The sequence below is a fragment of the Homo sapiens genome, chromosome 18 (assembly GCF_000001405.40).
Source record: "Homo sapiens chromosome 18, GRCh38.p14 Primary Assembly".
Classification (NCBI taxonomy): Eukaryota; Metazoa; Chordata; class Mammalia; order Primates; family Hominidae; genus Homo; species Homo sapiens.
In genome coordinates this window covers 21,612,158-21,633,870 of record NC_000018.10, presented here as the reverse complement: position 1 = coordinate 21,633,870, position 21,713 = coordinate 21,612,158, and the positions used below count along the sequence as shown (strand labels likewise).

General features: G+C 42.5%; 1 protein-coding gene across 2 annotated transcripts, besides 1 other annotated feature; it reads right to left on the bottom strand.

Moving 5' to 3' along the window:
• Positions 1 to 350: 350 nt before the first annotated feature.
• SNRPD1 (small nuclear ribonucleoprotein D1 polypeptide) lies at positions 351 to 21,557 on the bottom strand. 2 transcript variants are annotated; one of them, NM_006938.4, is made up of 4 exons: positions 21,428 to 21,557; positions 11,070 to 11,146; positions 9,932 to 10,123; positions 351 to 4,809 (listed from the first exon to the last, which is right to left on the bottom strand). In NM_006938.4, exons 1-4 carry the CDS (start codon positions 21,439 to 21,441, stop codon positions 4,733 to 4,735), a joined length of 360 nt encoding a protein of 119 aa, NP_008869.1. In that variant the 5' UTR covers positions 21,442 to 21,557; the 3' UTR covers positions 351 to 4,732. The 2 variants fall into 2 exon arrangements, with proteins under 2 accessions (NP_008869.1, NP_001278845.1); NM_001291916.2 differs by having other exon boundaries at positions 9,932 to 10,000.
• Positions 21,409 to 21,498: an enhancer, noted in NCBI's record as "active region_13136". NCBI's record gives its function as "activates an Ori minimal core promoter by ATAC-STARR-seq in GM12878 lymphoblastoid cells {active_cell/tissue: GM12878}" and the evidence as "EXISTENCE:reporter gene assay evidence [ECO:0000049][PMID:35858748]".

Here is a 21,713-nt window from a genome sequence, read left to right as displayed (position 1 = left end):
AAAAAAAAAATTTATCTTCCTTTTCAAAAGTACTCCTATTGGCTGGGCGCAGTGGCTCACACCTGTAATCTCAGCACTTTGGAAGCCTGAGGCAGGCAGATCGCTTGAGGTCTGGCATTAGAGACCAGCCTGGCCAAAATGGTGAAACCCTGTCTCTACTAAAAATACAAAGATTAGCTGGGTGTGGTGGTGCATGCCTGTAATCCCAGCTACTCGGGAGGCTGAGGCACGAGAATTGCTTGAACCCGGGACACAGAGGTTGCAGTGAGCCAAGATCGCACCACTGTACTCCAGCCTTGATGAAGGAGTGAGACTGTCTCAAAAAAAAAGAAAAGAAAAAAAAACGAAAAGAAAGTACTCCTCTTTATTTCACAGATCCACAAGAATTTCACATTAATAAAGGCCAGTATCAGATATACTTTTAATGCCTTTAGAAAATGTCTGCTGTTGGTTTATTATGACAGAGATTCTTCTTGTTATGGAGTTATTTTCTAGGTTAAGTCTTCAGGAACAAGAACTGTATGTTATTAAATGTTATATGTATGATATCTATTATAGGTAATACATGAATTGTTTGCTGACTACATTAATCTATTTCAAAATACTAAGTTATGCTCACATAATTATGATAGATTAAAAGAAACTGATATTTCATTTTCTATTCCTTCACTTTGGGTTTTCTATCTATATTCATAATACATTTCTTTAAAAACTAATGTTCGGCCGGACGCGGTGGCTCACGCCTGTAATCCCAGCACTTTGGGAGGCCGAGGCGGGCGAATCACGAGGTCAGGAGATTCAGACCATCCTGGCTAACACAGTGAAACCCCGTCTCTACTAAAAGTACAAAACATTAGCCGGGCATAGTGGTGGGCACCTGTAGTCTCAGCTACTCAGGAGGCTGAGGCAGGAGAATGGCGTGAACCCGGGAGGCAGAGTTTGCAGTGAGCCGAGATTGCACCACTGCACTCCAGCCTGGGTGACAGAGCTAGACTCTGTCTCAAAAAAAAAAAAAGAAAAGAAAAGAAAAGAAAAGAAAAGAAAAAAAACTAAAGTTCATATGTAACATCTCATTAAATATCAGATGTGTACAAAATGCTGCAGTCCTAAGATCCCATCTGCCTTTTAGGGGGTGGTGAAGAGGGGTCAAGAGAAGCATGTTAAACTCTAGTCTGTTTTCTATTCATACTATAATGCTTCCTTTATAGCAAATGATGGTAATCAGTTCAAATAGCTTTTTCTTCACCCAATTTTAGCCCTTTCACATGGAAATGAAATAATGACCTCTAGTGGAATAAACTCAATCTAGTACCCACTGTGATTTATTATTACATTTAAACTGTTACTAGACTGGCTTCACACTGCAAACATCCTAGACACAAAAACTCTCAAAACAAATTTTTTTTTTTTTTTTGAAACAGTCTCGCTCTGTCACTCAGGCTGAAGTGCAGTGGTGTGATCTCAGCTCACTGCAACCTCTGCCTCCAGGGTTCAAGTGATTCTCCTGCCTAAGCCTCCTGAGTAACTGAGATTACAGGCACCCGCCACCACACCAAGCTAATTTTTGTATTTTCAGTAGACAGGGTTTCACCATGTTACCCAGGCTGGTCTCGAACTCCTGACCTCAAGTGATTCGCCCATCTCGGCCTCCCAAAGTGCTGAGGTCACAGGCATGAGCCACCATGCCAGGACAAAACGTAATTTTAGATCTCTTATGCTAAGTGGCCATTTTCATTTAAATTTTAAATTTAAGAGCCAGGTCTCACTAGGTTACCCAGGCTGCTTGCAATCATAGCACGCTACAGCTTCAAATTCCCAGGCTATAGCGATCCTCTTGCCTTAGCCTCCCCAGTAGCAGGGACTACAAGTGTGCACCACGGCACTAAGCTCCAATTTTTATTTGTTATCTGCTTCTGTCTATAAGCTCCACGAGGACAGGAGCCAACTGTTTATTTCCTACTCTTGCAGGGTTTTGTTTGACCCCTTCAACAAATCTCTCCACTTGCTGCATTACAGGGGTCTCTTGCCTTTTGCCTTCTACTTGGATACAAGCAATAGGAGCACCAACAGGTCAGAAGATGGAAAAGAATGAAATCCAGTTATTTATTCCCCCAGCTTATTAATTAATGAAAGGTATAGGCCGGGGACGCACGGTGGCTCACGCCTGTAATCCCAGCACATTGGGAGGCCTCGTGCAGATCATGAGGTCAGGAGAACGAGACCATCCTAACACAGTGAAACCCCGTCTCTACTAAAAAGACAAAAAATTAGCTGGGTGTGGTGGCAGGCACCTGTAGTCCCAGCTACTCGGGAGGCTGAGGCAGGAGAATGGCCTGAACCCGGGAGGCAGAGCTTGCAGTGAGCCAAGATCGCGCCACTGTACTCCAGCCTGGGCAACAGAGCAAGACTGTCTCCAGAAAAAAAAAAAAAAAAAAAAAAAAAACGTGTGGAGAAAAATTACATATTGGTTGTATCTTGTCAAGCCAACTCACCTTTAATATATTTACTATTAAAGAATTGTCTTAAGTCTGGCCAACATGGTGAAACCCCGTCTCTACTAAAAATACAAAAAAATTAGCTGGGTGTGGTGGCGCACGCTTATAATCCCAGCTACTCTGGAGGCTGAGGCACAATAATCTCTTGAACCCGGGACGCAGAGGTTGCAGTGAGCCAAGATCGCACCACTGCACTCCAGCCTGGGTGACACAGCAAGACTCTGTCTCAAAAGAAAGAAAGAAAAAATTGTCTTAATCATCATGAATTTCATACATCCCTTTTTGGATCATAGAACCTGTAATACAACTGGGTGACCACTGCCAATAATTTGTGGGGGAAAAAACGCTAATTACTATATAACTTCAATGACTTACAAAAAAAAATTATCAACTGTGGAAAAATCAAAAAGCATTTGAATTTACTTGATGAGGTAAGATACTTAAAAAAATATATATCTAGTATTTATTTATACCAATATATACATTTATATATCTAATATATATGACAGGTACATTCTACATGTATACTAATATATCTATTAGTATATATTTATATATTAGTATAAATACATATATATATAAATACATATATATATCTCTCTCTCGATTTTTTTTTGAGACGTAGTCTCACTCCATCGCCCAGGCTGGAGTGCAGTGGCACAATCTCGGCTCACTGCAACCTCCGCCTCCTGGGTTCAAGCAATTCTCCTGCCTCGGCCTCATGAGTAGCTGGGATTACAGGCGCCTGTCACTGCACCTGGCTAACTTTTGTATTTTTAGTAGAAATGGGGTTTCACCCTCTTGGCCAAGCTGGTCTTCAACTCCTGACCTCGTGATCCACCTGCCTCGGCCTCCCAAAGTGCTGGGATTACAGGCGTGAGCCACCACACCCAGGCTAAACTTTTTTAAGGTAACGATCTTTGCAGAAAATTTCTTTACTTAAAAAAAAAAAAACTCACATACATGATGAAAATACAGATTTAAGCCACCCACATCCTCAGTTGTTTTCCTTAGCATATAAATACTTCGTAGTAAGCTTTACAAAGAACTGATGCACTGAGAGACATTTTTTCTGAGCTTAGCAAATCAAAAACAATTTTTAAAAGTCCTTATTAACAATTAGAACAGTTTTGCTGTCAAATAAAGTAGGTCTTTTCTCTTTTATTCTCAAAGAACCCCTTAATAAAGGAGGCACTGACAGGTACATTACACATTAATAGGAGATTTTAACACTGCTCATAACTGATAATCTAGTGACCATTAACTCCAAGTTATAACTTGGAAAACATAAAACTATATCCTATTAAGAACTGATTAAAAAGCAAAAGAAACAAAAGTAAGACATTAGCAGCTAGACAACAAAGCAATGACCCTTAATTTAGAAGACAACTTTTTACCAGGTACCTAAGACTCCGTGGAGTAAAACTCAGGAAAGGAGAATCAATTCTAGACCCCATCCCATAAGGACTTTAGTTTCCGAAATACCAAAACAAACTTCTTACTTCCCCTGTGGGTAGGTGCCACAGAATGAAGAGTAAAGCAATAAAATGCATATTCAGTGCATGTGAAGTAGAAGGGTATATATCCTATATATATTGTTAAGTTTAGCCTAAAGTCTCTTTACATATCTCAAGTTCAGCTTAAAGGTTTCTCAGTACATAGAACTGTAGCCTAACTGGACGTGTAAACAGACGGTACCCTACTCTTGTGGCAATCACTAAGTTTCAGCCAACCAAAGACAGCGAACTGTTCAAACCATATTCAAATAAGGCAAACGCTGAACTGTAACTAATCCGGCTGTTGCTGTATCTCACTTCCATTTTCCATACATCACTTTCCTTCTGTCCATAAATCTTCAACTATGCAGCTGGGCTGAAGCCTCTGAGCCTATTATGGTTCAGGGGCTACCTGATTTGTGAATTGTCCTTTGCTCAATTAAACTCTGCCAAATTTAATTTGTCTAAGGCTTTTATTTTAACCTTATTCATCATAAAAAGAAAAAGAAAAATTTTAGTTCAAAAACTTAAAACCTGATCAACTAAAAATGAAACTGCCCAGTAGAAATGCTTAGCTCTCACTGTGGTAATTTCGTGAATGTGGAGGAAACTACTAAAACTTTGATATACTAAATAGACAGCTCTGTCCCACATTTATGTTTATTAAAAACTGACATAAACAAACACAACCTGTACAAAAAATATCCCAAATCTCATATGACTTTGAAATCTTGAGAGACATTATCGCCTAGGACCCCCTCTTCCTCTGCCACGGCCACGTCCTCTTCCTCTTCCTCTTCCTCTGCCTCTTCCTGCAACTGAAGGAAAAGAAAAACAAACCAAGTTCAATTCTCTCCTGCACCAATGTTACCTAGACACCACAAACAACATTTACACACACACCTTTCCCTGTTTATAGCTCTTTATTAGTAGCTACAGTAAATAAAGTTTAACTAGCTTCTGTTAAATGTGTTAGACTTCAGATTCCCTCCACCCCCCAACACATTATCATGCAGAACCAATAACTAAAGGCCTAGGGAGATTATTATTTGTTTCATTTCAATTTATTTACTAAGAAATGTGTCAAATTTAAAAATACTTTTTCTTTATATCATGTCTCAAATTCACCATAAAATGATTTGAACCTCACAAAAAAAGGGAAGATATATATCACAGAATAAAACATGATCACCTTGATGCCAGAGTTTTGGTAACTGAATAAAATCCAAGCAAGTTAATTCAAAACCAGGAAAGTTTAAATGTATTACATCAAATCACAATCTTATTAACTCTTCAGAAAATTAAAACTCATTTGACCTACACATAATCTAGTGCTTTAATCCAAATAGTAATATCCCTACTGGGTCATCCTAACTCTAGTTGAGTATCATGGTGATAGGGAATTCATGACCCAAATAAACTTATTTCATCTTCAGACAGCTAAGAATATTAGAAAATCTTGACATAGAAGTCAGTCACATTCTAAATGTTTTTGTTTTTGTTTTTTAAATACAGGGTCTCACTCTGTAGTCCCATCTGGAGTGTAATTACACCTCACTGCAGCCTTGAACTCCTGGGCTCAAGTGATCCTCCCATCTAAGCCTCCTGAGTAGCTGGGACTACAGGTACAAACCATCATGTCTGGCTAATTTTTAAAATTTTTGTAGAGATGAGGTCTCCCTTTGTTGCCCAAGCTGCTCTCAAACTCTTGGGCCAAAGCAATCCTCCAGCCTCAGCCTCCCAAAGTGGTGGGATTACAGGTGTGAGCCACCGCACCTGGCCACATTAGAAATTTGTACACACTGATTCTAGTCTTACCATTCTAAGCAATAAATAGTAAGTTTAAGATGCTAATTAAGGGACATTTCACAAAATAACTGGCCCGTACTCTTACAAAGTATCAAGGTCACAAAAGGAAAACTGAGGAGAACCAGCTGATACGCATTAAAGGAAACTAAGGAAACGTACAAGTAAATGCAACCTGTTGTACTGGATTGGATCTTGGACCAGGAAAAGGACATTAAAGGGACAATCAGAGAAATGTGAGAAAGGTCTCTAGATAATACAGTAGTGACACATCAATGTAAAATTTCTAATTTTTTGTAGTTATATGACATTTTAACATTTAGACAATCTTGGTGAAAAGTGTATGGGAATTCCTTGTACTATTTTTGCAACTTTTTGTGTCTAAAATTATTTCAAAATGAAGTGTTTAAAAAAATAAAGAAAATGGGAAAAACAGAGTTGGAGGGGTGTTGTAAAACAACAACAACAACAACAACAAAAGGGCTGGGCACCTGTAATCCCAGCTACTTGGGAGGTTGAGGCAGGAGAACTGCTTGAACCTGGGAGGCAGAGGTTGTAATGAGTGGAGATCGCGCCATGGCACTCCAGCCTGGGCAACAGAGCATGACTCTGTCTCAAAAAAAAAAAAAAAAAAAAAAACCCAAGAAAAGAAAATGGACCAGGTATGATGGTGGCTCACACCTATAATCCCAGCACTTTGGGAGGCCACAGCAGGAGGATTGTTTGAGACCAAGAGTTCAAGACTATCCTGGACAACATAGGGAGACCCTGTCTTTACAAAAAAATAAAAAATAAAAAATTAGCCAGGTTTGGTGGTGCATATCTGTAAAAAAGAAAGATAAATTAAGAAAACAACTGCTCACTGCAATCTCCGCCTCTCGGGTTCAAGCGATTCTCCTGCCTCAGCCTCCCGAGTAGCTGGGACTGCAGGCGCCCACCACCACGCCCAGCTACTTTTTTGTATTTTTAGTAGAGATGGGGTTTTACTCTGTTGGCCAGGCTGGTGATCCACCTGCCTCGGCCTTCCAAAGTGCTGGGGTTACAGGCGTGAGCCACCGCGCCCAGCTGCTGCTTCTTTTTTTTTTTTTTAAAGAAAGAAAATAAATGTTTATTCAAAAAAAAAAAAAATCCAAACATTTGGGAGGCCAACGCAGAAGACAGCCTGAAGCCAGGGGTTTGAGGCTGCAGTGAGCTATGATCATGCCACTTCACTGCAGCCTGAGCAACACAGTGAGATCTTGTCTCTTACCAAACAAACAACAAACAAAACAATTTTTTTTTTTTTTTTGAGACCAAGTCTCTCTCTGTTGTCCAGGCTGGAGTGCAGTAGTGCGATCTCGGGTCACTACAACCTCTGCCTCCCAGGTTCGAGCAATTCCCTGCCTTAGCCTCCCGAGTAGCTGGGATTATAGGTGACCGCCACCACACCTGGCTAATTTTTGTATTTTCAGTAGAAATGGGGTTTCACCATTGGCCAGGCTGGTGTTGAACTCCTGACCTTGTGATCCAGCTGCCTCAGCCTCTGAAAGTGCTGGGATTACAGGCGTGAGCCACCACACCTGGCCCAAACCAATAATTTTTAAATAACTCCCTAACACTAGACTATGACAAACTTGAAACGAAGACTCATTTTCATTATTTAATTTGTTGTAGTTTCCTTTTTTTTTTTTTTTTTTTTTGGCGACAGGGTTTTACTCTGTCACCCAGGCTGGAGTGCAGTGGCGTAATCTCGGCTCACCGGAGCCTCCATTTTCTGGGTTCAAGAAATTCTCCTGCCTCAGCCACCCGAGTAGCTGGGATTACAGGCATCTGCCACCATGCCTGGTTAATTTTTGTATTTTTAGTAGAGACAAAGTTCATGCCATGTTGCCCGGGCTGGTCTCGAACTTCCGAGTTCAGGCGATCTGCCCGCCTCTGCCTCCCAAAGTACTGGGATTACAGGCATGAGCCACCGCACCTGGCCAATTTCAGTTATTTTAAACCGTACTATTTTAAATGTGTACACACAAAAACTGTAAGTCTAGAACACGTTAAAATGGGCCAAATTGACCACACTTACCTTCAATTTCTTCTGAAATAGTATTTATGATAGAAAAGGAACAAAAATGATAACTACCCAGAGGAACAAAGAAAAGCAGAGAAAACACAGTAGATAAAAGATTTTGGGCCAGGCACCGTGGCTCACGCCTGTAATCCCAGCACTTAGGGAGGCCCAGGCAGGCGGATCATGAGGTCAGGAGATCGAGACCGCTTGGCTAACACGGTGAAACCCCGTCTCTACTAAAAATACAAAAAATTAGCCGGGCGTGGTTGCAGGCGCCTGTGGTCCCAGCTACTGGAGAGGCAGAGGCAGGACAATGGTGTGAACCCGGGAAGCGGAGCTTGCAGTGAGCCGAGATCGCGCCACTGCACTCCAGCCTGGGCGACAGAGTGAGAGTCCATCTCAAAAAAAGATTTCGGCTGGGCGCGGTGGTTCCTGCCTGTAATCCCAGCACTTTGGAAGGCCGAGGCGGGTGGATCACTTGAGGTCAGGGGTATGAGACCAGCCTGACCAACAGGATGAAACCCCACCTCTACTAAAAATACAAAATTAGCTGGGTGTGGTGGCACACACCTATAATCCCAGCTACTTGGGAGGCTGAAACAGAAGAATCGCTTGAACCCAGGAGGCAGAGGTTGCAGTGAGCTGAGATCCTGCCACTGCACTCCAGCTTGGCTAACAAGAGCGAAACTCCATCTCAAAAAAAAAAAAAAAAATTTTTTTCAACAAAATTTTAAATAGAAAGTAGACTGGGAACTGTAACATTTAGTAAAGGAAGAATAACTTCTGAAAAATCTAAGATTCAGAAGCGTGGAGTAAGATGATATGAGGCGGGGGGCTTTCAATCATCAATTCCCCGACAGGTAGGTAGGTAGTAAAAAAAAAAATGTAGAATAACCCTAACGACATTAAAGCAAAACATCCTCAGATTTGAAAATACAGCCAGCCTTCAATATCCATGGGTTGCACATCCATGGATTTAACCAACTGAGGATCAAAAATGTAGTTTAGGCCTATGATGGTTGTATCTGTACTAAACACATACAGACTTTTTCTTGTCATTAACGCCTAAACAATACAGTATAACTATCTACAGAGCATTTACATTATACTAGGTATTACAAGTAATCTAGAGATGATTTAAAGGGTACAAAAGGATGTGCACTGAAACACTACTACCATTTTATGAAAAGGGACTTAAGAATCTGTAGATTTTGGTACCCACAGGGGGTTTTTTTAAAGTGGAAAGCAGCATGAGATAAAGGACCGAGAGAGAGATTAAATCATTGTTTTTCAAGCTATGGATTACAATCATATATATATATATATATTTTTTTTTTTTGAGACAAAGTCTCACTCTGTAGCCCAGGCTGGAGTGCAGTGGCGTGATCTTGGCTCACAGCAACCTCCACCTCCCAGGTTCAAGTGATTCGTCTGCCTCAACCTCCCGAGTAACTGGGACTAAAGGCACGCACCACCACGCCTGATTTTTTTTGCATTTTTAGTAGAGAGGGGGTTTCGCCATGTTGACCAGGCTGGTCTGGAACTCCTGGCCTCAGGTGATCTGCCCACCTTGGCCTCCCAAAGTGCTGGGATTACAGGTGTGAGCCACCCTGCCCGACCACATCGATATTTGTTGTTTGGTTTTTTTTTTTTTTGAGACAGTGGCTCTGTCACCCAGGCTGGAGTGCAGTGGTGAGATCTCGGCTCACTGCAACCTCCGCCTACTGGGTTCAAGCGATTCTCCTGCCTCAGCCTCCCGAGTAGCTGGGATTACAGGCACCCGCCACCATGCCCAGCTAAGTTTTATATTTTTAGTAGAGATGAGGCTTCACCATGTTGGCCAGGCTGGTCTTGAACTCCTGACCTCGTGATCCACCCGCCTTGGCCTCCCAAAGTGCTGGGATTATAGGCGTGAGCCACTGCGTCCGGTTGCTCAATGTTTTTAATAGCAACACCAAGAATTACTATACATACTATAGGAAATATTAAACAACAAAGACACTTGTGTTGTTTGCAAATAATATCTATATTATGAATAGTGTGGATTAGGATTAGCATTCACAAAAATGTTTATAATCCTTCAAACTTACCAGCTTCCCTTTTCTTAGATTTCACCTTAGGTTCAACATCCACAAGTAGTGTATCCAGAGGTAAACTGTCTGGTAGAATAAAATACCGAATGTTATTTCCTCGAATACTCAGCGTTTCCAGCTGTACAGGTTCTCTGTTCTTCAGGGTCATTTTCACAGCTTTAAGATGTGTATTCATGCTGACATCCACACCTAAAGAGGAAAATAATTGTGCAGTTATTAGTATGATACAAGTTAAGGCAACTAATTAATCTACTGAGCCACAGTAAATACTGGACTACAAAAGATTACTGTTCTTCTACAAAGTGCAAGTTTTCTATGACACAATTTAGCACATGTGCAACTGGTAAATGGGGGAATGTCAGCAGTGTTTCCTTCCTAGAGATTTTTCCTAGCACACTAATGTTTTGCTTACAGAAGTGAATGCAGCAAGCCATGGAAGAACCCTGACTGGGCTTTAGGCTCACTACTGATGTGACAGGTATTTCTTTCATGTTTCTCCCACTGTCTTTGTAACTTCCTCATAATCCCCATTCCACCAAACTATCCTCACCTTTGTTTCTGCTTCTCTCTGTATATAAGAATTGTTACTGCTTTTGTTAAGATGGATCATGAGGTCAGGAGTTCGAGACCAACCTGGCCAACATGATGAAACCCCGTCTCTACCAAAAATATAAAAAATTAGCTGGGTGTGGTGGCACGCACCCATAACCCCAGCTACTTGGGAGGCTGAGGCAGGAGAATTGCTTCAACCCGGACCCGGGAGGCAGAGGTTGTAGTGACCTGAGATTGTGCCACTGCACTCCAGCCTGGGTAACAGAGTGAGAATCCGTCTAAAAAAAAAATTTACCCGGGCATGGTGGCAGGCACCTGTAGTCCCAGCTACTTGGGAGGCTGAGACAGGAGAATTGCTTGACCCCAGGCGGCGGATGTTGCAGTGAGCTGAGATCGTGCCACTGCACTCCGGCCCAGGTGACAGAGCAAAACTGTTTAAAAAAAAAAAAAAAAAATTACATAATTCAGACAAAAAAAATAAGGATTTGTACTACAATAATGTTCATTAAGCAATAAAAAAATAAACTCTGGCTAGGTAAAAGAGAAGAAAAAAAATGTTATAAAAGCAGTCCAACCTCCGTACCTGTGATTGTTCCATGGACCTGTGTTCCGTTCTTCAATTCAATGGTTACAGTTTCATGACTCAATTTCATCAAAAATCTATAAATAGGAATAAAACCATTTTTACCTGTAACACTTTAAAATCACATTTATTAAGGTGAAAGGGTGAAACAACTCGATGTTGAAAATTTGCTAGATGCTATCTGCATCAATTCCTATCAATAATCTGCATAACAATTTCAGCTTTCCTGAATTATATCCTCAACCTTTATGAAGGAACACAACAATACTAACATAAACTGTCATTTGGACGTTTCTAATTCTCAAACCTGAAATCCAGACATACAAGATCTTAGACTCATTATAAACCATGAAAAAGAAATAGGCCAGGCGTGGTGGCTCACGCCTATAATTCCAGCAGTTTGGGAGGCCAAGGCGGGCGGATCACGAGGTCAGGAGATCGAGATCATCCTGGCTAACATGGTGAAACCCCGTCTCTACTAAAAAATACAAAAAATTAGCTGGGCATGGTGGCGGGCACCTGTAGTCCCAGCTACTCGGGAGGCTGAGGCAGGAGAATGGGGTGAACCTGGGAAGCAGAGCTCTCAGTGAGCCGAGATCACGCCACTGCACTCCAGCCTGGGCAACAGAGCGAGACTCCGTCTCAAAAAAAAAAAAAGAAATAAAGAATTACAGTCGGTAAAAAGATTACAAGCTTATTATAATGCCTATAAAGTAAAAATCTCCCTTCCTAACCCCCTGCACTGTGGGTATGTAGGAATATTATTCCAGATCACTTTATATGCATTCAGAAGGATATATACAGATTTCTTTTGACATAAATTGGGTCATATTTTATTCACGTCTATAACTTGTAGTCCTCGTTTAGCAGTTTATATTGGACATATTTCCATTTCAACATACAAAACATTCTAAGAACTGAGGCTGGGCGTGATGGCTCATGCCTATTTATAATCCCAGCACTTTGGGAGGCCGAGGAGGGCGGATCATCTGAGGTCAGGAATTCAAGACCAGCCTGGCCAACATGGTGAAACTCCATCTCTACAAAAACACAAAAATTAGCTGGGCAGGATGGCGTACGCCTGTAATCCTAGCTACTCAGAAGGCTGAGGCAGGAGAATCGCTTAAACCTGGGAGGCAGAGATTGCAGTCAGCCAAGATCGCACCACTGCACTCCAACCTGGGGACAGAGCAAGACTCCATCTCAAAAAAAATTAAAAAAAAATAAAAATAAATTAGCGAGGCAAGGTGGCGCACGCCTGTAATCCCAGCTACTTGGAAGGCTGGGGCATGAGAATCGCTTGAACCCGGGAGGCAGCATTTGCAGTGAGGTGAGATTGTTCCACTGTACCCCAGCCTGAGTGACAGGGCAAGACTCCATCTCACAAAAAGCCAAAATAACAAAATAACATTCTAAGAACTGGAAAGTATTCCACTATATGGAAATGTCAAAATTTATTACCGCCTGTTGACGGACATTACTTTGGTTCAATTTTTTCCCATTACAAACCCAATTATGCAAACCCTCACCAACACAAGTTGCTATAAGTCTTTCAAATTTTTGTCAATTTGATGGGGAAAAAATTTGCTTTTCCTTAATTACCTGTGAGATTGAATATCTTATCTTTTTTTTTTGACACAGAGTCTCGCTCTGTCACCCAGGCTGGAGTGTAGTGGCACAATCTCGGCTCACTGCAACCTCCGCCTCCTAGGTTCACGCCATTCTCCTGCCTCAGCCTCCCGAGTAGCTGGGATTACAGGCGCTCGCCACCACACCTGGCTAATTTTTTGTATTTTTTTTTTAGTAGAGACGGGGTTTCACCATGTTAACCACGATGGCCTTGATCTTCTGACCTCGTGATCCACCCGCCTCGGCCTCCCAAAGTGCTGGGATTACAGGCATGAGCCACCGCGCCCTGCCTGAATATCTTTTCATTAACATGGGAAAACTATTTCTTCCGTGAATTACCTGTTCACATTATTGACATTCTCAATTAGGTTGAGTTTTTCTTTTATTTTCTACTGGTTTGCCAGTCATTCAAGTTTGTTGTTTATGGTTTCTTTAGTCACACAAACTTTTTTCACTTTTATGTTTTGAATTTGTTCACCCTCCTGGGATACATAATTTACCTAAGAAAGGGTTTTTTCTATGCCAAGATTGTAAAAAAATAGTGTCTTATTTTCTTCTACTTTTAGAGTTCTAATCTACTTGGAATTGATCTTTTTTATGCAGTGTAAGGCACAAATCTGTCTTTATTACTTTCCCCAACTGAATAGCCAGTTGCCTTGATAATATATAATGAACAATCTATCCACTTCTCACTTCATCTAAATTTCCGTTCTCCCCTTTTTATAAAATTTTGCAGAGGATGAAAAGTTAAAGGGTTTACAAATATTGTCAATTGCCAGTGCAGTGGCTCATGCCTGTAATTTCACCACTTTGAGAGGCCAAGGTGGGATGATCACTTGAGGCCAGGAGTTCGAGACCTGCCTGGTCAACAAAGCAAGATCCTGTCTCTACAAAAATAAAAATAAAAAAAAAATTAGTTGGCCGGGTGCGGTAGCTCATGCCTGTAACCCCAGCACTTTGGGAGGCCAAGGTGGGCGGGTCACAATGTCAGGAGTTGGAGACCAGCTTGGCCAATATGGTGAAATCCCATCTCTACTAAAAATACAAAAAATTAGCCAGGTGTGGTGGTGCAGGTCTGTAATCCCAGCTACTCAGGAGGCTGAGGCAGCAGAATCGCTTGAACCTGGGAGGCAGAGGTTGCAGTGAGCCAAGATCATGCCATTGCACTGCAGCCTGGGTGACAGAGCAAGACTCCATCTCGAAAAAAATACAAATAAAAAAATTAGCTGGGCCTGTTGGCTCATGCCTGTAGTCTCAGCTCCTCGGAGTCTGAGGTGGGAGGATCGCTAGAGCCCAGGACTTTGAGGCTGCAATGAGCCATGACTGTGTCACTGCCCTGGAGCCTGTGTGGCAGAGCAAGACTCCGTCTTTTTTTAAAATTCTATTTTTTTTTGAGACGGAGTCTCGCTCTGTCACCCAGGCTGGAGTGCAGTGGCATGATCTTGGCTCAATGCAACCTCCACCTCTTGGGTTCAAGCAATTCTCCTGCCTCAGCCTCCCAAGTAGCTGGGACTACAGGCGCCTGCCACCACACCTGGCTGATTTTTGTATTTTTAGTAGAGACAGGGTTTCACCCGTTGGGCTGGTCTCGAACTTCTGACCTCAGGTGATCTGCCCACCTTGGCCTCCCAAAGTGCTGGGATTACAGGCGTAAGCCACCAGGCCTGGCCCTTTTTTTTAAAGACAGTCTTCGCCAGGTGTGGTGGCTCATCCCTGTAATCCCAGCACTTTGGGAGGGCGAGGCAGGCGGATCACCTGAGGTCAGAAGTTCGAGACCAGCCTGGCCAACATGGCGAAACCCCGTCTCTGCTAAAAATACAAAAAAATTAGCCAGACTTGGTGGCACTTGACTGTAATCCCAGCTACTGGGGAGGCTGAGGCAGGAGAATTGCTTGAGCCTGGGAGGCAGAGGTTGCAGTGAGCCAAGACTGCACCACTAAACTCCAGCCTGGACAATAGAGTGAGACTTTGTCAAAAAAACAAACGAAAAAAAATTGATCACACCATCTCAAAGTAAGTTGTAGGCATTACGACACTTCAGCATGCATTTTCTAATGACATTCTCCTATATAACCATAATCTCACAATCACATCTAAGAAAATGAACCCCACACTATCATACAATACACAGTTCATATAAAAACTTTTAGTCTATAATATATACTTTGAATTAACAGATCCTATCATCACACTAAATGGTACACATAAGATAACCTATTATCCTCCCGCACTAGACTATTCTTGAGGGTAGGGATCGTAAGCTCTATATCTAATCCTAGACTGTAATAGGCACTGAATAATGTTGGCTGAAATGTTTTAATGAATAAAGGGAAACCAACCTTAAAATGCCTTTTTTTAATTTCTTTTTTTTTAGTGGTATAGACAGCCATCACAAAAAAGAAATTACTTGGTCTGGGATATAACAAGCCTCAAACTTTAAGAAGACTCATGAGTTGAATCTCTTTTTATATATGACATCAAGAAAACGTTTTTCTCAACGAATTGGTAACACTTTATTTCACCAGAGAGTTATTCAGCTCCAAATTTAACAATCAATTATAACTAGAAAAGCCTAGAATTCTGAACTAATGGTTTCCTCCCATTATCAAGTTTTTGTTTTTATCTTTTACACGAATTTACTATCCCAGTTAGTAAGAACTTTTACTATAAAAGTTCTTCAAATCATTTTTGGAAGCAAAGAAGATAAATAAAAGGAAAAAAAAAACCTTATGTGGCCAGGCGCGGTGGCTCAGATACATAAAAGATACGTAAAAATAACTAAGTTGTAGAAAGCAATAAAGATATACAGAGGTTTTTTTTGTGTTTTTTTTTAAACAGAGGTTTTTAGTTTAGGTTTTTTCTGAGACTATGCCACCATGCCCGGCTAATATTTTTTAAATTTTTAAATTTTTTGTAGAGATGTGGTTTTGCCATGTTGCCTAGACTAGTCTTAAACTCCTGAGCTCAAGCAATCAGCCTGCCTTGGCCTCCCAAAGTGCTGGGATTACAAGCGTGAGCCACTGCACCCAGCTACACACAGGTTTTTTACTAAGAATATATTGTAGCATGTGGAGAGGGGAGTCAGGTATTAGGGGACTCCTAGTAAGAAGCCTGAAAAGTTGGAAATATGCAGCAAGAAGAAACAAAAGAAAAAATACAGCATAAGACACAGAGTAATTATAGATACAAAGATGGAGTCTTGTTCTGTTGCCCAGGCTGGAGTGCAATAGCGCAATCTCAATCTGAGCTCATTGCAACCTCCGTCTCCCGGGTTCAAGAGATTCTTGTGCCTCAGCCTCCCAAGTAGCTGAGACTACAGGCGCATGCCACCACACCCAGCTAATTTTTGTATTTTTAGTAGAGACGGGGTTTTACCATGTTGGCCCAAGTGATCTGCCTGCCTCGGCCTCACAAAGTGCTACGATGACAAGCATGAACCACCACGCCTGGCCGATGAAATGTTAAGTTCAATATTTTAGGTCCTATGAGTAGAGAGGAGTTAGGCAGGTTCCTTTCATGGAAAGCCTAAGCTCTGTTAAAGAATTCCTCTAGGAGAGCTACTGAAGGATTTTCATCAATGAAGTGGAGTACCAGGCTCATATTCACATTTAAAAGAGAACCTAGGGCCAATGTTCAGAAACAGATTTTAGAAAGACAAGAGACCAAAGTATAATCTCTAGGAAGACAAATTATGTGACTAGAGCAGTACATATACAAGTTAAAACTACAGTAATCGAGACATAAGGAACAACAAATAGATCAATGAAACAATACAAGCAAACAGATCTATTTCTGGTCCCACATTTACATGGTTGATTTAGCTGGGATTACAGGCACTCGCCACCACAACCAGCTAATTTTTGTATTTCTTTTTGTTTTAGTAGAGCCGGGGTTTCACCATGTTGGTCAGGCTGGTCTCGAACTCCTGACCTCAGGTGATCTGCCTGCCTTGGATTCCGAAAAGTGCTGGGATTACAGGCATGAGCCACCAAGCCTGGCCTTATATGGTTGATTTTTTACAAAGGTGCCAAAGACGTGTAACAGGCAAAGGAAAGTGTTTTCAACAAATGATGCTGGAATAACTGGAAATCCATACAGAAAAAAAACGAACCTGGACCACTAACACCATTTTCCAAAAGTAATCCAAGATGGATGATAGTCACTTGAGCCCAAGAGTTCCAGATATAGGCTGGGCACAGTGGCTCACGCCTGTAATCCCAGCACTTTGGGAGGCCAAGGCAGGCAGATCACAAGGTCAGGAGATCGAGACCAGCCTGGCCAAAGTGGTGAAATCCCATCTCTACTAAAATACAAAAAAAATAAGCCAGGCATAGTGGCACATGCCTGTAGTCCCAGCTACTCGGGAGGCTGAGGCAGGGGAATCACTTGAACCTGGGAGGTGGAGGTCGCAGTGAGCCGAGAGTGCGCCACTGCACTCCAGTCTGGCAACAGAGCAAGACTCCATCTCAAAAAAAAAAAAAAAGACTTAAAGAGTTCCAGATACATAAAAATCGATCAGTCAGGCATGGTGGCTCACGCCTGTAATCCCAGTACTTTGGGAGGCCAAGGCGGGTGGATCACAAGGTCAGGAGTTCGAGACCAGCCTGACCAACATGGTGAAACCCTGTCTCTACTAAAAATACAAAAATTAGCCAGGCGTGGTGGCAGGCGCCTGTAATCCCAGCTACTTGGGAGGCTGAGGTAGGAGAATCGCTTGAACCTGGAAGGCAGAGGTTGCAGTGAGCTGAGATCGCACAATTGTACTCCAGCCTGAGCTACAAGAAGAGAGACACTATTAAGGAAATGAACATGTAAACCACACACTGAGAGAAAACACATCTGACAAAGAACTGGTATCCAGGACACAGATCTAATTTCTACAACTCTGGGCTGGGCGCAGTGGCTCACGCCAGTAATCCCAGCACTTTGGGAGGCCAAGGCGGGCGGATCACGAGGTCAGGAGATTGAGAACATCCTGGCTAACACGGTGAAATCCCGTCTCTACTAAAAATACAAAAAATTAGCCGGGCGTGGTGGCAGGCGCCTGTAGTCCCAGCTACTCGGGAGGCTGAGGCAGGAGAATGGCGTGAACCCAGGAGGCGGAGCTTGCAGTGAACCAAGATCATGCCACTGCACTCCAGCCTGGGTGACAGAGTGAGACTCCGCCTCAAAAACAAACAAATAAGCAAAAAACCGACTAAACCCTAAGGAGATACCACTACATACCCACTAAAATGGCTAAAATTAAAGACTGAGCAAACAACACCACATACTGGTGAGGATGTGGACCAATTGTTATTCTAATATATTGTTAATGGAAGTGTAAAATGGTACAACCACTTTGGAAAATGGTCTGGAAATTTCTTAAAAAGCTAAACACATAACTATGTTACAGTCCATCAACTCCACTCGAGTATTTACCCACGAAAATTTGTTTCCCTCCAAAAACCTGAAGAATATTCAACGTAGTTGTAAACAAAATACATAACTTTTTATTTTATTTTCTTGTAATTTTTTAAAATACGGAGCTTTTTTTTTCTTTTTTCTTTTTTTTTGAGACGGAGTCTCGCTCTGTTGCCCAAGCTGGAGTGCAATGGCGTGATCTCAGCTCACTGCAATCTCCACCTCCTGGGTTCAAGGGATTCTCCTGCCTCAGCCTCCCTTGTAGCTGGGATTACAGGCACCTGCCACCATGCCCAGCTACTTTTTTGGTATTTTTAGTAGAGATGGGGTTTCACCATGTTGGTCAGGCTGGTTTCAAACTCCTGACCTCAGGTGATCTACCCGCCTCGGCCTCCCAAAGTGCTGGGATTACAGACGTGAGCCACTGCGCCCGGCCTAAAATACAGAACTTCCAAACACACAATGCACTAATATCCAGTAATAAAAATGAACACATTACTGATACACTTCACAATGTGGATGAATCTCAAAAACATGTAACTAAAAGAAGTTTTACGCAAAAATACTTTGTGATTCCAAATATATGAAATTCTAGCGCAGGCAAAATTCATTTCTGGTGGAAGAAACTGGTTGCATCTAGGGGTATGGAGCCAGAGGTTGCCTGGGAAAGGCTTGAGGAAACTGTCTGAGGTTTTGGTAATGTTACTTCTGTTGATATGGGTTTAGGTTACAAAAGTGTTTACATTTTTCAATAGCAGGAAATATACACTGCATTTCATTGTATAAGATATTTACCTTAAAGAAGGAAAACAAAAATCCATGAGTGGGATAAAAAGGGCCTGAACTTAATGGTGGTGACTGGAATGAAAGGCTACTATGGGCAGGACAAATACACAATTATCCCTCCCTAACTGAGCCCAGGAACCAAATGGATTCAAATTATTTTCAGATGAATCTTTCACTGTCTGAATTCTTTCCACTTAGTGAAACTTGGATATCAAATAGTAACACAGTGTCCCTCAGTATAAAACACACTATTTGAACCCAAAAACCAAACAGGATAATGTGGGTCACTTTTATGAAGTAGGTAAAACTGGCAAAATTGGCAATGTATCAAATGTCAAGGACATCAGGAGAGAAAAAGTCAAGCTCACCTCCCAGGTTTTTGGTTAGGGTGACAGTGAGAATAAGGATGACAATGCTGCCAACTGAGATACAGAAATAAATCTACTGAAAATGCAAACCAGTTAGTCAAACAATCATTTTCTGGAGGAAAAATACATTCTCTGGTAAGAAAAAAAATTTGTTTCTATATTTTACCTAAGACACAAAACAGGATTCAGTACAGGTATTAAAAATTACTGGAAAATTGTCATAACATGCAGTATCTTTAAAGGGAACAAATGGAATCCAAGGTGTATTACACAAAATTGAACTATGAGTGGATTAAGATTCAGATTGGCAGGTATGGAGAAATTTCAAAAAATGTAATTTTCTTTTTTTGAGACCGAGTCTCACTCTGTTGCCCAGGCTGGAGTGCAGTGGTGCGATCTCAGCTCACTGCAACCTCCCAGGATCAAGTGATCCTCTTACCTCAGCCTCCTGAGTAGCTGGGATTACAGGCGCCCGCCACCATGCCCGGCTAATTTTTGTATTTTTTCGAAAGAATGGGTTTCACCACGTTGGCCAGGCAGGTCCTGAACTCCTGACCTCAGGCGATCCGCCTGCCTCAGCCTCCCAAAGTGTTGGGATTACAGGCGTGAGCCACCACGTCCAGCCTAAAAAATGCACTTTAAATTCTATGACTTCCTATCCAAAGTTATAGTTCAAATAAAAATATACCAAAAATTAACCTTAAATGTCTTTTGTACCAACTCCTCCCTGAATATAATTTTTTTTTTTTTTTTTTTTTTTTGAGATGGAGTCTCGCTCTGTCGCCCAGGCTGGAGCGTAGTGCCACGATATCGGCTCACTGCAACCTCTGCCGCCTGGGTTCAAGCGATTCTCCTGCCTCAGCCTCCTGAGTAGCTGGGATTAAAGGCGCGCGCCACCACGCCCCACTAACTTTTGTAATTTTCGTAGAGACGGGGTTTCACCATGTTGGTCAGGCTGGTCTCGAACTCCTGACCTAGTGATCCACCCGCCTTGGCCTCCCAAAGTGCTGGGATTACAGACGTGAGCCACTGCGCCTGGCCTCCTCCCTGAGTGTTGAAGGCTTTTATGTGTTATTTAAAACGTTTCAAACAAACGTTACTTCAGACGTTATCTACTTGTCTGTCATCCCCACTAACCAGAAAACTCCAACAAGGCAGGTACTCTGCCTTTTAAAAAATCCTATTACCAGCGCCTAGTATGTAACAGGTGCCCAATAACTATTTAGCGGATATTGACAATCCTTGACTCAACAGGAAAAAAACAAGCTAAATATTTATAATTGCTGGCTTAGCTATTAGAAACGTCTGCCTCTGTTCCAGGCTTAGTCTCAAGGAAAAACACCAAAACCAAATCTACTTGCAGGTAGTTTAGAATTATTCACATCAGCAAACAAGTTTTCAGAAGACTCACCTAACTGACAGGGTCTATTTATTTCTTAAGAAATAAAACAGGAGAACTATATATTATCTGAGTAATCAGCCACAATTACGTTGTGATAATTTCTGCCCTATATTGGGAGATTTTCCTAAATAAAAAGCCTACCTTAAAGGGAAATAGAGGTGGAATAATCAATCACAAATCTAAGGAGGATAAAAAGGTAAACTTAAAAATCGGCCGGGCACGGTGGCTCAAACCTGTAATCTCAGCCCTTTGGAAGGGCGAGGCGGGCAGAAAGCTTGAGCCCAGGAGTTCGAGACCAGCCTGGTCAACAAAGTGAGACACCATCTTTATTTAAAAAAACAAAAACTTGTGAAGCCGGAAGTCCTTCTCTGATTTAAAATATTTTGCAAACAGGTTTGTTTCCAGATAAGCTCATACAGCTTTCTAAGTACTGTTAAGCAGGACTGGGGAGTTCCACTCAAAAAGAAAATGAGTAACTGTAAGAGGGAGATGTGTCCCAGGAGGCGCTGCATCTTTAAAGCCTCTAAGTCACTAGGCAGGAAGAAAAGGCTCGGCCTTTATACCAATCTCTTGGAAGACACGCGGGATCCGCGAGCGACCCAGGCGGAAGCCCAGGCCCGAGCACGAGCTGCGGGCGCAGTAAGGCCGGCCGTTAGCAGGCCGCGCACACGCGGCTTTCCCGCCTCCTGCAAATGGGAGAGCCCAGCCTTCCGGACTCCGGGCCAAGCCCTCCCTTCACAGCCCCCAGAGCTGCTTGGTCACTCCCTCACCTCACGAGCTTCATCCTAGCGGCGCCGTCACCCTCTGGGTCCGACAGCACACAGAATCCTTCAACCGAACACTGACCGACTGCAGTATGAATGGCCGGAAGCGCCTACTCCAGGGGCTCCGGACGTCAAGAGCGCGCGGAGCACTGCAGGCGCATGGCGGAAACGCCGAGGCTGCGCTGGGCCGCACTCTCTTCCGGCCGCGAGGAGCGCGACTGCGGCCCCTGGCGGCTGGAGGTTGCCTTGCGACGGCTGAGGGTATCGAGGGCTGGTCTTGGAGAAAAATGTC